The following is a 15720-nucleotide window of genomic DNA, read 5'->3' as shown; positions in this document are numbered from 1 at the left end:
ACTTAAAAACAATAAAATAAAATAATTTTTAAAATAAAATAAAATGAGAGGACTGGATCAGATTATCTTTGGCACCCCTTCCATTTGATCCACAGAAGTCAGTGTAGCCTGATCAGTGCTCACTGTAAAGCAATGCCTGCGTTAGTGCTCCATTAAACGCGCAGCAGTCATCAAGCTCCCTCATGAACTTGGCTCGCACTGCTTACTCTGGCTTCTCCCTAGGGCATGGAGGATAGAGTGGGCTCAGACCCCAACCCTGAGCCAAGCTGTTCATCTGCCCTTACGCTGTCCCTGGAGGAATAGAAGAGGTGGGAGAGAAAGGAGTGGGACTCCACTTGTATTTCCAGTGGTTTCTGGGAAATGAAGGAGTGATGCAAACTGGGTAACAGTGTCAGAAAGAAGTCAGTGCCATCACAGAGGAGCCCCACTCTCCCCTCTCTCAGCAGTAGGAAGCAGGACCCTGCCTGGGCCATCACCAGGGGGTCAGTGGTAGGGAGTGGAAGGAAGGAAGGCAACTGCTCAGTAATACTCTGCATTTGGGAAGGGCTGTCTCCACCCATCTTCATGGGTTCCACTGCAGGGAGGGGAAGAGATGCCATCAGCCAAAGTTGACAGTAGGCTTGTCAACATTAGAAATGTGCTTCAAAGGCCAGGTGTGGTGGCTCACGCTTGTAATCTCAGCACTTTGGGAGGCCGAGGTGGGAGGATTGCTTGAGGCCAGGAGTTCAAGACCAGCCTGGGCAACATAGCGAGACCCCATCTCTAAAAAAAAAAAAATGTTTAAAGATAAGAAAAAACAAATGTGCCTCATTGCTCTAGAGCAGGAGTCTGGGCCTTTCATAAAGGCTGATATCTTAGATTTTATGGGCGATATGCCTTTAGCTCTGCCACTGTAGCACAAAAGCTGCCATAGACAACATGCAAACAGCCAGGCAGGGCTGTGCTCCAGTAACACCTTACTTATAAAAGGAGGTGGGCCAGATCTGTCCCATGGGCCATAATTTGCCAACCCCAAGTTAGCGGAAAGCTTGGCTAAATGTGGCTTTTCTCTCCTCCCCCTTTCATTTGCAGTGGGAAATTTGGACAGGTCTTTCGACTTGTAGAAAAGAAAACTCGAAAAGTCTGGGCAGGGAAGTTCTTCAAGGCATATTCAGCAAAAGAGAAAGAGAATATCCGGCAGGAGATTAGCATCATGAACTGCCTCCACCACCCTAAGCTGGTCCAGTGTGTGGATGCCTTTGAAGAAAAGGCCAACATCGTCATGGTCCTGGAGATGTGAGTGGCCCACTGCCAGCAGCGTGGGCACCACAGGGAGCCCCCAAACGTGTCTCCCCTACTGCCCTACCCCAGCCACCTCTGCCCCAAGATGGAAAGCACTGCAGACAGGAGTGTGATATGTAAGATGCTCACCAGCCATACAGCCAGGCCTGACCAAACAGAACCGAAGGTCTGTGCACAGTGCTGGCCCTGAGCCTCTGAGCACCAGCCCAGCTGCAGCCTTGTGCTTATTTCCAAAACAAACCAGTAGATCTTTGAGGACCCTGGTGTCTTTCTCGCCCTCATCTCCCCATGAAAGGGCCAAAGCTATCCCTAGGCTCCTTGGTTTCATTTGGGGCATTCACACCTGAAGGTGGTTTAGGGGAGGGACAGGGCAGCTTCCTGACTTCCCTGTGAAAGATAAGGGGGCCCCTGGCTGGGGGCTTGAAATCCAGGATGGAAGCCTCTCTCTGGTCCTCAGTCCCATCCTGTGTCTCCACATGCCCCTGGTCTACTCTTGTTTGTACTCTTTGGACTTCTCACTCACTAAAGAGTGGTGCTTTCCCTATGGGGTTGTACAAAGGCAGGGGGATTATCAGATGACCTCCAGCCAAGCCTTTCGCAGAATTCATTGTTTCTTCTGCACCTGAATCCTCCACCTCCCTTACCTCTGAGCTGTTGGTGCATGCGTGTACACACGCACACACACACATGCACACACACACACATACAGTCAAGCATGCACACTGGCATCAGCAAGCCAGGCATCCCCCACAGCATCTGCATTCTTAACAGTTTCCTTTTTTATCTGAATTTTTAGAATATATGCTACAATCACCTCAAAAAATATTAGGAAATACACAGTGAAAAGTCTAATTTCCACCATTATTCCTGTCTATCCTTTCCTAAACACTACAACCATCACCAACACAAACAATTTTATTGGCTTTTATCTGTATCCTTCCAAAGTTTCTTTATGAAAATATAAGTGTATACAGACACACACACACATATATATATTCTTATTTTCTTGCCTTTTAACACAAAAAGTAACTTCTTATACTCACTGTCATATACTTTGCTTTTTTAGTTTGGTTTGTTTGTTGTTGTTGTTGTTTGAGACAGAGTCTCACTCTGTCGCCGAGGCTGGAGGGCAGTGGTGCCATCTCGGCTTATTGCAACCTCCGCCTCCCAGGTTCAAGCGATCCTCCCACCTCACCACAGGCTCACGCCACCTCACCCAGCTAATTTTTGTATTTTTGTACAGATAGGATTTCACCATGTTGCCCAGGCTGGTCTCGAACTCCTGGGCTCAAGCGATCCATCTGCCTCAGCCTCCCAAAGTGCTGGGATTACAGGCGTGAGCCACCGCACCCAACCTACTTTGCTTTTTCAGCAAATTGCTATGGGAGTTAGTCCCATCTCACTACCTAGTGAGCTTCCTCATTCTCACAGCTCTGTGGGGTTTTGTTGTATAGAAAATCACAATTCATTTAAGCAGCCTTCTTTTGATAGAGATTGAGTGGTTTCCAGCCTTTTGCTTTTACAAACAAGCATCGTTTGTAACCTTGTACACACATCTTTTCACTCATGCCTGTGAATATCTATAGGATAAACTCCCAGAAGTGAAGGAGAGCTGGGTTAAAGGGTATGCACATTTGAAATCTTTAGAGATATTGTGAAATTGCTTTCAACATCCTTGAAATGCTCATCCTGAACTTGGGGGGTCTCTGTCCTTTGGTGAGGGCTCTGTTAGCATCTTGGAATTCTCTCCCAGGAAAGTTGAGTCCAGTAAGACATCCCCAAGCTGTAGATATGAGTGGAATATTAGTCTTTTCTCTCCCCTCATGCCATTAACATTCTGGCACACAAGTATTTCCTTTCCGTATGTGTTCCTTAGGAAAGGCAATAGTAGTTCCGAGTGTAGGCTTGAGTCAGATGAACCTTACTTCAAATCCCAGCTCTGCTTCTAACTTGTTATTTGACCTTGAGTAAGTTATTCTATTGTACCAATCCCTAGTTTTATTATCCATAAATGTAGATACGACACCCACCTCATGAACGCTGTGGGATTCAATGCAATAATGCATATAGGGCACAGTGCTCTATAATGGGGAGTTATTGTTAGTAGTATGATACATTGACTTTTTTTGTATCCTGGTTTTTTTCCACTTAAAAATACTTTTTGAGCATTTAACTTCCAACAAGGTGTTGTGGAACAAATCCTCCCTAGTATTCAGGAAGCCTGGCTTCAGTTTCTGCTACTATTGAGTCATGATTTTGCAATTGTCAAATCCTATCAGCACGAAGAAGTACTTGGATTAGAACAGTCAATCTCAAGATGCCCCTTTTGGTTATAAAATTCTACTATTTCATGGAACCATAAAAGACGCGGTGAAGAATTTCCATTCGTATCTTACAATCTACATTCAGCCCCAAATTCAAATGTTCCTCCCCATTTTCAGGAAATACGTAGCCCACATCTGTGACCTCATTCTTTACACCCTCACAATAGCCCCGTGGGCTGCATCTTTTCACATTTATTCTAGAACAGGTTGCTTAGTCCAGGCGGTGTGGGCATGTGAGGACATGTGGAGAAATGTCTTATCTTTAGAAGTTAAACCTTGAGCAAGTTGAGAGGGTGCAGGGAGGGCAGGAGTCACAGGGCCTGGGGAAGGCTAGGCAGCAGCACCAGTGGGCAGAATACCATACTTAGCTTGGAATTGGGAGTTGGCAAGCTGGATGGAAAAAGCAAAGAGAAAATGTAAGAAAGCTTCAGCTAGTCTGGCTTTCATCCCTCCACCCCATGCCTCCCCTGTGGACAGCAGCAGGTCTTCCATGCCCAGATACCAGAAAATTTGCCTGCACTTGGGACCTTGGCCAGGTCGCCAAGAGTAGGAACTTGGTAAGAACTCAGTCAACCAAAGAAGAAGGGAACAGGTTCATACTCCATCTATACATCCCTTCCAGCTTAAACACTCTAAGACTTGACCACTGAGAAGGGAAAGAATGATTTTCACCAGTGCAATGTGCTAACCTTGTTGGATGGAGAAACTGAGATTAAAAGAAGGATGATGCCTGGGGATAGAATAATGGAAATGTATTCCAGGGTCCCTGCCTTAAGTCCAGTTGCTTCAGATCTAGTGGGAAATAGTAATGAATGTGTCTTCATCCTTTCTGACTTCTGATTACTGGATGAGCCCCCACCATATAGTAGTTGGTCTGACACAGCAGTTCCTTCAGGCCCCTGGCCTACTTGGGCTTGTCCTTTTGGAAGTGCTTGGGACATTCCAGGTGGTTGTGGGACCCTGAGCATTGAAGACAATGTGAAGTTTAAGCTGTGTCATCCATGGCTCATCTCATGTTTGTGCTACTATTAGCAAAATTTATCAAAGAACGTTCCAGCTGGCTGCCATAGGGCAAGGAGCGGAGGGTCTCGAGTCCAGTGATAGCACCATTCCTTCTTGCTTCCTATGAGAGCTAGCCAAGGTCTAGGGTTTGGGGGATGAATCTGATTCCTTAGGATAGGGATCACTTATTTATTTAGTCATTCACTCACTCACCATTAATTTAAGCCTAATCTTGGCCCTTGGCATTATCCCATTACTGTGGGTGGCAGTTTCTGTCTATCAAACCAATATTTTCCACCCATAGCATTAAGTATTTTGAAGATAAACCCACAGAACCATTAATCCTGCCTCTTTAACCCCTTCCATCTTAGAAAGTTGAACCATAGGAACAGTTTTCAAAATATAATAAGTATATCTGAATAGGATTGAACCTATTTGAATTTATATTGAATAGGTTTCCTCCAGAAATGCAGCAGGAATTATCTCCATGGCTCAGATTCCCACCACTCACTGCCTCAGACATTCCCAAGGGCATTGAAAACAATGGTTGCTTGCTTTTTCAGAATATTTAAAATTTAAATGTAAACATTTTGGAGCACCTTGTCTGTGCCAAATATAGTCGGAGGCAAATAAGGGTCTAGAGATGAGCCTGCCACCTGTGATGTGTTCAGAACTTCAAGGCAAAGCCAACTTGATACACAAAGTGCGGAGACGAGGCCATGGACATAAGGCCATGGAAAGTGCAGAGACAAGGCTATGGACATAAGGCCATGGATGCCCAGTGAGGGAAAGATCATTCCATGTGAAGAAATGGGGAGTGACTTTTTCAGAGGGCGTGAATTTCAGCTGGCCTCCCAGGAGTGGTAGTTGAGTAAGCCAGTATTTCTCAAACTTGTCTGATCATAAGGATGACCTGGAGTAATTATTACAAATATAGATCCTCAGATCTCTCCCAAGACTTTCTAAATCAAAATCTCCAGAGGAGGAGCTTGGGAATTTGTATTTTTAATAAGAGCCCCAAGTGATTCTTTACATAGAAAATTGATCATTAATATTGAGCATTGACTGTGTGCCAGACACTTCCAAGCACTTTACCTGTGTTGACTCATTTAGTCTTTGAAGCCACCCTGTGAGGTGAGGCTGTTTTTAATCTGCATCTTACAGATGAGGAAAATGAAGCACAGAGATGTTAATAACTGGCTGAGACCTAAGAATACTTGTAGATGAGAGTTTGTCTTGGAGCCTTGGCAGAGAGCAATAGAAATGGAGGGCATAAGGACAAGAGCGCCACCTGCAGGCCATTTGGGGACCTTCTTCTCAGATGGGTTTTAAAGTATGAGTTCTAGCTCCCTCCAGCTGTCACTGGCACAGACTGACCTTCTCCAGTTCAGCCCTTCCAGAAGTGAGTGTGTGTGTCACGTGGCAGAGGCTGTGGTATGCTGGGCCCCACAGTGCATCCCTGTCTCTCTCCTGCAGGGGTCAGTGACAAGATCCACCTAGCCCACCACAGCTTATCAAACGATAAGTAATAAGTGTTGAGCACCTTCTGTGTGTTAGGCATGATACTTTACAAAGCCTCCTACATTCCTAAAAACTCTATGAGGCAGGGATAGATAAGGAAACTGGGACTCAGAAAGGTTAAGCAACTTGCCCAATGTCACACAGCTCATAAAAGGCAGAAGCAGGATTCAAACTCAGCTCCTTTCCTCTTCGTGAGGACTCTCTGTAGGAGAGGAAATACCCTTGCAAGAGGACAGGCCCAGAACCCACCCGGCCTTGTTCAACTGGTGGACCTACAGGCCACTGCAGAAACATGAGCTTATGACTGGGTGACAGAGAGAGACCCTGTCTCTACAAAACATTAAAAAAATTAGCCAGGTGCGGTGGCACATACCTGTAGTCCTAGCTACTTGGGAGGCTGAGGCAAGAGGATCGCTTGAGCCCAGGAGTTCAAAGTTATGTTGAACTATGATCACAGAACTGCATTCAAGCCTGGAAGACAGAGCAAGACCCTGTCTCAAAAGCGAAAGAAAGGAAAGGAAGGAGGAGGGGAGGGGAGGGGAGAAGGAGGAAAGGAGGGAGGCAAGGGAGGGAAGGGAGGAAGGGAGGGAGGGAAGAGAGGGAGGGAGGGAAGAGAGGGACGGAGGGAGGAAGGCAGGCAGGACAGAAGGAAGGACGGAAGGAAGGAAGGAAGGAAGATAGGTAGGTTGGTTGGTTATAGGCCAGGCATGATGGCTTATGCCTGTAATCCCAGCACTTTGGGAGGCTGAGGTGGGATAATCGCTGGAGACCAGGAGTTCCAGACCAGCTTGGGCTCCCCTCCCCTCCTCCTTCCTTTCCTTTCTTTCACTTTTGAGACAGGGTCTTGCTCTGTCACCCAGGCTTGAGTGCAGTTGTGTGATCATAGCTCAACATAACTTTGAACTCCTTGTCTCTACCAAAAAAAAAAAATTGAAGAAGAAAAAAAGAAAAGCAAGCTTACTGATATCTGGGTGCTGCATAAGTTACCAGAGAGATGCTTTAAACTTGCTAAGCAGAGACCAAGAAAGGTGGGTCAGAGGGCTAGGACAGGGGAACAGAGAGGACTCATGCAACTCAGGCGGTGGGGCCATGCATTTGCACTGAAGGGCAATATGCTGATGGCTGAGACCCCGGGGCAGTCCCTAGCAGAGGATGCATGCCTGTGGCTGCAGAAGCAAAGTTCACTAGAAATAGCCAGGATCCAAAGCCTATCCAGTTAGAAAGGATTACACAGCTGGGGTAAGGAAGGGGTCCAAGGGAGACCAGTTAATTATGACTGCAGGGAGTAAACCAATACTATAGGCCTGGCCAGAGTAAGCAAATCTGTCACAGCTGTAGGTATAATGAGTTACAGCCAACTAATTTTAGAAAATTTGCTGAGGCTCATTATTGATGATTGAAGATATTTTTCCGTTCCTGGCTATGCAGAACAAATGCTTGTGGGAACTGTGAGTATTTTGAACTTGAGTTCCCTGTGACTAAAAGACACGGCTAGAGTACAAGAATGTTCCCTTAGGCATGTGTGGTCATTTGAGGGAAAGAGACTGTTTAGAGGTCACTCTTTTTGCTAAGAAGATCATGTCTGGATCTCTGTGTTCACACCCACCTCTGAAACTGCCTAGTGTAGATGCTTCCCTGAGTCCCCAGCAGCTTAGAAGGTGCAGGGCAGGGTTCCCTGATGGGAAACCAGGAGGCCCTGACCCTTCTCCCATGTCGGAGGGTGGGGATTCAGGAATTGCCCATCACCCCCATTCCCTGGGCTTTCCTGCCAATTTCTCCTACCCCCAGCCTACCCTGGCCAGACTCCCTGCCAGCCTGGCCTCCATGAGCCTGTGGCCTGACCACCCCGTGCACGTGTTCCCGCAGCGTGTCAGGAGGGGAGCTGTTTGAGCGCATCATTGACGAGGACTTTGAGCTGACGGAGCGTGAGTGCATCAAGTACATGCGGCAGATCTCGGAGGGAGTGGAGTACATCCACAAGCAGGGCATCGTGCACCTGGACCTCAAGCCGGAGAACATCATGTGTGTCAACAAGACGGGCACCAGGATCAAGCTCATCGACTTTGGTCTGGCCAGGAGGCTGGGTAAGGCTCATCTGCCTCTCCCATGGACACCAGTGTGTATTGCACTGGCCGTTTCCTCTCACACTGAGTGTGAGAGGAAACATACAGTATTGGGGTTAAATCCGAGACCATGAAGACTTCCCAGGTTTGAATCCTGCCCCTACCACATACTAGACGTGACAGTAAGCCTCAAATTCCCCATCAGAAAAGTGGGATCATAGTAGGACCTAACTCACAGATTTGTTAGGAGGATCAAATGTGTTAATATAGGTAAAGGGATGGGAAGAGTGCTTTGCACATAGTAAGACTGCTTAGGTGTTAGCTGTATATATGATGATGATTATCCCCTTTTGTTTTTCACTCTGGTGCCATTAGCAGCAAAAGTCATTTTGGTGATGGTGGCTCTGCACATCTGCATCATACTGTACAGTTTCTAGAGCACTTTCACATAAAAAATAAACCCTATGATTCTCACCATGAGGTGAGCAGGGTAGATTTTATGAGCCCCAACTTGTAGACTAGGAAACAAAGGTTCACAATAGCTTTGCCCAGGAGGTCCCACTGTGAGCCAGGGGATGTGCTGGGATTGGAACAAGGACCCCAGACCTTGCTCAGGGTGCTCTGCAGCACCTCTGATTCTTATGCTAGCCAGGAGAGAGGTCACAGGGGTAGGCGGTCAGGGTCTCAAGGCCGCCCTGAAAGCACTTTGGTAGATGCCTGCCTGGCTCACATTCTGCCTGCATCCAGCCTGCCTCTGCAGCCCTTTGATGTCCCGGTGATTGAGGAAACAGCTTCATCCTCCCTTCTTAGCCACTGCCCTGCTAGCAAGGAGCCCGAGGGCTGGGGTGAGCTGGCTTTATTTCACCACCCTGCAGGTAGTAGAAAGGAGGGGCCAAATGAATGCCACCCAATAAATGTCTCCCACGATGTTCAGTGCTGGCTGAGGCTGTGTTGGTCATAAAGAGGAAAGGGGTAAGCAGGGGCGAGGTTCCGATAGACTATGACCGGTCTGGTGGTCAGCGCAGTCAGGTGAGAAACATGCCTCGGCGCTGGGCGCATGTGCCTGCTCTGCTCTGCTCACTCCTGCTAAGAGGACAGGGTAGGGGCAGTGGCTGGCATACAGGGCCTGCCTTTGAACAGTGACCACCAATAAATTAAACAAATAGGCCACTGTCCTCAGGAGTCGGCAGTGTCAGAGCCCAGGGAACACAATGTCCAGCTTCCACTGGTGAGGGATACTGTGGGAACAACCGTGTCCACCAAGGACCAGATAACTGAGAAGTGGCTAAAATGTAGCAGAAAGGGCTGAGAGGCAGGAATTGGAGCAGAGCTTTCACATCTGAGGGCTGTTAAATGCTTTGTTTTAGAACATTTGCTGTGAGCTCTGCGAAGTTAAGCAAGACCAGGCATAGCCCACAGGTACCTGCCTTTTGCACATATTAACAGACATCTCTGGTCCTTTATGGCCAAGAGGTACCACCCTGGGGTTGAAGCCTCTCCCGACTACCCTACCAGTAGCTCCTGAAGGACAGCCATGAAGCTGTGTGAGGAGTAGGAGAGGCAGGAGGGAGGAACGGTGGTAAGCATGGCTCAGGAGTTGGACTACCTGGGCTTGAGTCCCGACCACCACTTGTTAACCGGGTGGGGAAATCACTGCACTTCCCTGGGCCTCACTCATGTTCTCAGTAGCACGGGCATTATACCTACCCCTTGGGGTGGGTGAGAACCCTTGTAAAGCTGCCGGTGGGGTACATAGGACATAGTGAATGCTAGAGATTATTATTAAGCATAAGTCACAGTCCCTGCCTAGGGGAACTAACTCATGAGACAGACTCACAAAAAGACCATTCAGGGGCGGGTGATTTAGCGGCCTCTTCTCCCCCTGCCCACCCTGCACAGGACATTTGAGGTGAGTGTGAGGTTTGTTGGTTTCACTGGTGTGTTGACGCACCTGTTTAACAAGGAGGTCAGATGTCTCTGTGCCTGTTCTCTGTGCCAAAGCCTGTGTCTGGCCCCTCCCAGGTTGGGGTCAACACACAGATTCGGGCAGCTGCTGGTCTCAAGCTGGCTCCGTGATGTGCTGGCAATTTATCCCTCTCCATCCTGGTTTCAGAGAATGCGGGGTCTCTGAAGGTCCTCTTTGGCACCCCAGAATTTGTGGCTCCTGAAGTGATCAACTATGAGCCCATCGGCTACGCCACAGACATGTGGAGCATCGGGGTCATCTGCTACATCCTGTGAGTCCTGGGGCACTTGGTGGACTGGTGGACCACTTGGTGGACCAGTGGGTGGGGGCTGAGGGTTCCACAGGAGGGTCCCCAGGCTGCCCTGCCATTGTCATGATGGGGAGCCCCCCCCAGAGTCAGGAGGGTGGCAGGCTCCCCTCCTATCCCTGGCAGCCCACCCTGCTCCTGGGCTCCCAGGGAGTCAGTAGCATGCATATTCTATAGCATCATGTAGCTACACATGCTAAGATCCCCATTCTGGGTGCTCACTGTCCCCAAGGCTGGCCAGCCTGGGGCCTTTGGTCAGGAGGGTGGGAAATGTGGCTGGCACCAAGTAATAAAACCTCACTTGTGTGGGTCCACAAAGAAGGAGGGCAGGAGGCCAGGGGCGAATCTCTGGGCATCCTCATTGTCTTCAGGGCATAGCACTCCATCCCCAAGGCACGGGGACCCCAACTACTAGCCTCATCTTTGAGTCTAGTATATGGATGAATTAATAAACACTATTGATGATCGAGCCTTCAATGGGACTAACAGATAAAAGAAAGTAACACAGTAATTAGAACTGAAAAATCAGGTGGGAAATCCAAAGCCATTTCAATGAACAATAATGCAGGAGAGGGGAGGCCAGCCATCTAGGCCGGCACTTCACAAACATTAGCATGCCTGACTCACCTAGGCGGCTCCTTACATTGCAGGGTTTTTGTTCAGGTCTGGGTGACCTGGAATGCCACATTTCTAACAGGCTCTAGGTTTGTGAATGTGCTGGTTCAACGACTGCGCTCTGAGTAACAAGGCTTGAGAACACTCTGTCGGTGGGGTCTGGCTGCTTTAGTCCCTGAAGCCCCAGGGTGCGGACGGTCATTAGCCCCTGAACCTGTGTGGCCACATGCAGTTATGGGATGGTGTCCCCAAAGATGCAGATGTGTATGCTTTCATTCAATAATGTTTTTACTGTCAGAACAAAAGGAAAAATTTAACATTTTCATAGAAAATGAGGAAGACCTCTATGAATACTTTCTTAGACCCCTGGGGCCTTCAGACTCCAGTGTGAGAGAAGGTTCTGGGCGATTCTGATGCATAGCCAGGTTTAGAAACCAGTGTTATAAAAGCTTTAGCAGAAGTGGTGTGAATTTTGTGCAATGTGACTTTTTCACATGCTCAGGAACTTTACTCACTATAGCCTGTTAGGACAGTCCCCTCAGTGGAACCTGCACCACAGGCATTGTAGTCCAGACAGTTATCCTCTTTCCTGCCTGGGATTAGCCCCACCACCACAGCCTTCCCCAGATCAGCAGAAAAACCCCGGGCCAGGTGTGCATTTCCCTGCCTGTTTCCCTGCCCCGCCCCCTCTTGGAGAAGGGGCGCTGACAAGTGAAGACAGCAGCTGGACTGGAGCTTGACTCCCTGGCTCCCTAGATAAGTAAGGAACAGCAGGGTAGGGGGCGGGGCCAGCCTGCCCCTTTCAGGGCGGCCCCAGGCCTGGGCAGTGCTAACCTCTGGCCCTGGGAAAAACACCAGACCCTTGAGAAGCAGTCCTTGGTCAGCTCTCACTGTTCAGCCCCAGCTGCGCTGTGGTCTCGCTTGGTCCCAGGGTCCCCCTCCAGCCGTCATGGAGACTTGCCTTACTGTTTATTCTTCAGTGGGTTTTCCCACTGCCGTGGCATCAGGATCTTCTGCAGCTACAGATTTTCACATAGGACCTTGTTTGATGCTCACAACAAACCCAAGAGTGGATCATGGCAGGGATTCCATCTTCATGTGGCGTTGAGGTGACAGGGGCCAAGGAAGCCCACGTGGCTGCCCACTTCCCACAGTCGGGCCAGGGGACCAGTCGTCCCAGTCTGCCAGGATACAGGACTTTTGGTGCTAACATGGGAACAGTCCCAGGCAAACCAGGACAATTGGTCTCTCTACTGGTCAGTGACAGAGCAGTGACTAGACTGCTCACTAAGTTTTCACCTGTGTAACCTCTACCCGGATCAAGAAACCAAGCACTGCCAGGCCCCCACAGCCCTCTGGCACCCCTCCCTGTTACCAACCCCCAGAGGTCACCATTACCCTCAAGGCTAATGTCAATGAAATCATACAGAAAGAAGTGTCTGGCTTTTTTTGCTTGACATCGTTTGTGAGACTCATTCATAGTACTATGTGTCATTGTAGACTGTTTATTCTCAGTGTTATGTAGTATCCCATTGTGTGAATATAATCCAGTTAATTTATCCGTTCTGCTTTGATAGGCTTTTGAGTGGGTTCCAGTTTGGCCATTGGAAGCATTCTGGTTCACGTGTTTCAGTGAATATATTTGTACATTTCTGTTGGATATATAATCTAGAACTAGAATAATTGGGTCATAGGGCACTTTATTGTCAAATGAGAGTTCTTTTCGGTGGAGGAACATAGTAATTTGGGCACTATGTTACCTTGTTTACCAGATTACTTTTAAAGCAAAGACCAAGAACTAGGGCAGAGTTTTGGAAATGGGGAGAAGATAGTTTTGATGCTGCCAGTGCTTGGGCAGAGGGTTGTCAGGAGGGAGGAGGGGTGTGTGTGTGGCAAGGACCCAGGCCAGGTGGCACTGACTCAGGCTGGATCAATCCTGTGCCACATCTTAGCTCCTGGACCCCCACTGTGAGCCACTGCCCTCTGGGGCTTTTCCAGCCTGGCTCTCTCAGCATGGATGGAAGTCAGGGAGTTCCCCCGGCAAGCCAGGGCTCTCAACAGAGAGCGGTGCTGAAAACAAACATTGGCGCCAAGGAGATGGTTTCCTTTAAGCGCCTGCTATGCAGAACTCTGGAGCCACTGCTGGGAGCACCCAAAAGAGGCTCTCTGGTGGCCCTCATGGCATCCTCTGGCCCACTCTATCCCTCTCTTTGGAGCCTAGTCATCTGTCGGGCAGTCCCTGTCAGGGCGACTTCCACCTTTGTACCACAGAGCCCCTCCTGTTCTCCTTTCTGGGGCCAGTGAGAGATGGAGAGGCCAGGGAGTTGGAAGGGAAGGCAACAGACCGTGTCACCATAGGACGATGTGACTTTACTCTCTCCCACCCAGCCCAGCCATCAGGGCAGTTTCTGGCCCTATAGGGAAGGAGCAGAATGGGGTCGTGGAGCCCCCACACTCTTACCCCGGATCCTGAAAGGAGATAGTAGGTTGTGTGAGTACCTAGAGACCTTCTGAAGTTAGCAATACCCATGTGGTTTCTGGCAGGAAGTGAGAATACCAGAGAGCTGGAGGCCACACTTCCATACGGGAGAAATCCTAAGTCCACCTCCGTTTAAGAGCCCTCCTCCCCCTGCTGTCTCCCTCCCCTACTTCCTGGACTTGGTACTTCCTTGCTGCCTGTGGGGAGGCCACAACAGCTCTTCTCCGAGCCCTTCCCTCACCCTACTCCACAATGCCTTCTCTCCCAGCCTCCCTCAAGCCAGAGCGAACCAGCAATGGCTGCTCTGCTTCCTCCTCCTGCCTCTTCCTGACCAGGCCCAGCAGCACAGCCTTCCCATTCATGCTTGTTTGTTTGTCCAACACCCACCGTGGTGCAGACAGCTGTCAGCTGTCCCTCCCCACCCTGGTGTGTGGTCGGGAGATGCCAGGAGGGAGGAGAGGTGTGTATGGTGGGGAGGCAGGTCAGCTCTTCTGGTGACAGCTGCCCAGTCAGCTGAGGAGGGGTCACAGTGCCGGGGCATCGGGGGCCTCCTCAGACCAGGGTCTGACTGCAGGGCTCCTCAGCCAGATCCAGTAACCTCTGCCTTCCCCACCTGGGGCTGCCGCTGCCCTCTCTGCTGCTGAGCCTGGAAATACGCTCTGATTCCAGCCCTAGGATCCCTGTTCCCTCTCCAAGCCCGGCCACCACCTTCAACTTTTACTAACACAACTAAACCCCAGGTCGCTGCTTCCTCGGCCAGTCCACAAAATGATGCACAGCTCTTCCTGTGGACCTACTCAGCCCTCTCAGCTCTCCCACCAGAGTATCAGATGGCTAATATGGATAAAAGACTAACCCCTTCCTAGCAGTCAGTAGTTCCATCAGCAGATGTGTGGTCCCCTTAGCTGGCCACTGGTACAGTCGGGGCATCTGTCTGCTGCTTGAAACACAACACAGAAGCCAGGTGCAGTAGTGTGCACCTGTGGTCCCAGCTACTCAGGAGGCTATGATGGGAGGATCACTTGAGATCAGGAGTTCAAGACCAGCCTGGCTGATATAGCGAGACCCCCATTTCTTAAAACCCACACACATACACGCACACACACACACAGAAAGTGTAGTCCAAGAGGCATTTCTGCACCCTCTGCTCTCCTAACCTTCTGCCCCCACAGCCAAACAGGCTTCCACATCAGATTCCCTGGGGGAATTTCTTTGGCAATGAGCTGAGAATTAAGAAATTAGAATGCCCTGCATTCATGACCATTGTGTTTCATCAGCACAAAGACTAATATTTGACCACTAAAAATCAACATGTAGAGTCTGGCTGTACTTGATACATCCAGTGAAGAAAAAGTAAAGCATCCAAGGACTTGCCCAGACTGATTATAGTTTTGTGAAAAACAGATCAATCCATTAGTTAAAAACTAGATAAGACCAGGGAGATAAAGAGGTGTTTTAATGCTAACATTATTTGTTGACCGGTTGATTTTTTTAACAAATAATGACTGTTATCTAGCTGGGCGCAGTGGCTCATGCTTATACTCCCAGCCCTTTGGGAGGCCAAGGTGAGTGGATGGCCTGAGCCCAGGAGTTTGAGACCAGCCTGGGCAACATGGCAAAACCCCATCTCTGCAAGAAATACATAAGGTAGCTGGGCATGGTGGCGTGCGCCTGTGGTCCCTGCTACTTGGGTGGCTTAGGTGGGAGGGTCACCTAAGCCTGGGGAGGTTGAGGCTGCAATGAGCCATGATCACGCCACTGTATTCCAGCCTGGGTGACAGAGCGAGACTCTGTCTCAAAAAAATAAAAAGAAATAATAATAATGACTATTTTATAAATAAAAAGACAAGGCTGGGCACAGTGGCTCATGCCTGTAATGCACTTTGGGAGGCAGAGGTGGGAGGATTGCTTAAGCTCAGGAATTTGAGACTAGCCTGGGCAACATGGTGAAACCCCATCTCTACCAAAATACAAAAAATTAGCCAGGTGTGTTGGCGCGCACCTGTGGTTCCAGCTACTCAGGAGACTGAGGTGGAAGGATCGCTTGAGCCAGAGGTTCAGTGAGCTGAGATCGCACTACTGCACTCCAACCTGGGCAATAGAACAAGACCGCATCTCAAAAAAAAAAAAAAAAATTAAAAGACATGATCCCTTATGCAAAT

General features: G+C 49.2%; 1 protein-coding gene across 20 annotated transcripts in view, besides 2 other annotated features; it reads left to right on the top strand.

Moving 5' to 3' along the window:
* Positions 1-15720, top strand: part of MYLK (myosin light chain kinase) — a 274284-nt gene that overhangs the window by 235834 nt on the left and 22730 nt on the right. For 16 of the 20 annotated variants that reach the window (XM_047448184.1, XM_024453532.2, NM_001321309.2 and 13 more), the window contains 3 exons: positions 1072-1275; positions 7995-8212; positions 10305-10428. In XM_047448184.1, coding sequence (XP_047304140.1) covers positions 1072-1275; positions 7995-8212; positions 10305-10428 — 546 coding nt within the window. The remainder of the gene's footprint in view (positions 1-1071; positions 1276-7994; positions 8213-10304; positions 10429-15720) is intronic. The other 4 variants (XM_047448186.1, XM_047448182.1, XM_011512861.4 and 1 more) reach the window with 1 other exon arrangement.
* Positions 11891-12552: an enhancer, noted in NCBI's record as "H3K4me1 hESC enhancer chr3:123354794-123355455 (GRCh37/hg19 assembly coordinates)". NCBI's record gives its function as "activates a minimal SCP1, AML or CMV promoter by ChIP-STARR-seq in primed H9 embryonic stem cells {active_cell/tissue: H9 hESC(primed)}" and the evidence as "EXISTENCE:reporter gene assay evidence [ECO:0000049][PMID:30033119]".
* Positions 12883-13177: a silencer, noted in NCBI's record as "tiled region #9008; K562 Repressive non-DNase unmatched - State 23:Low". NCBI's record gives its function as "represses a minimal TATA promoter and a strong SV40 promoter by Sharpr-MPRA in K562 cells {active_cell/tissue: K562}" and the evidence as "EXISTENCE:reporter gene assay evidence [ECO:0000049][PMID:27701403]".

This window comes from Homo sapiens, chromosome 3, assembly GCF_000001405.40.
Source record: "Homo sapiens chromosome 3, GRCh38.p14 Primary Assembly".
In the NCBI taxonomy this organism is placed as follows: domain Eukaryota; kingdom Metazoa; phylum Chordata; class Mammalia; order Primates; family Hominidae; genus Homo; species Homo sapiens.
Note: the sequence above shows the minus strand (reverse complement) of the source record. Positions and strands in the feature narration are given on the sequence as shown.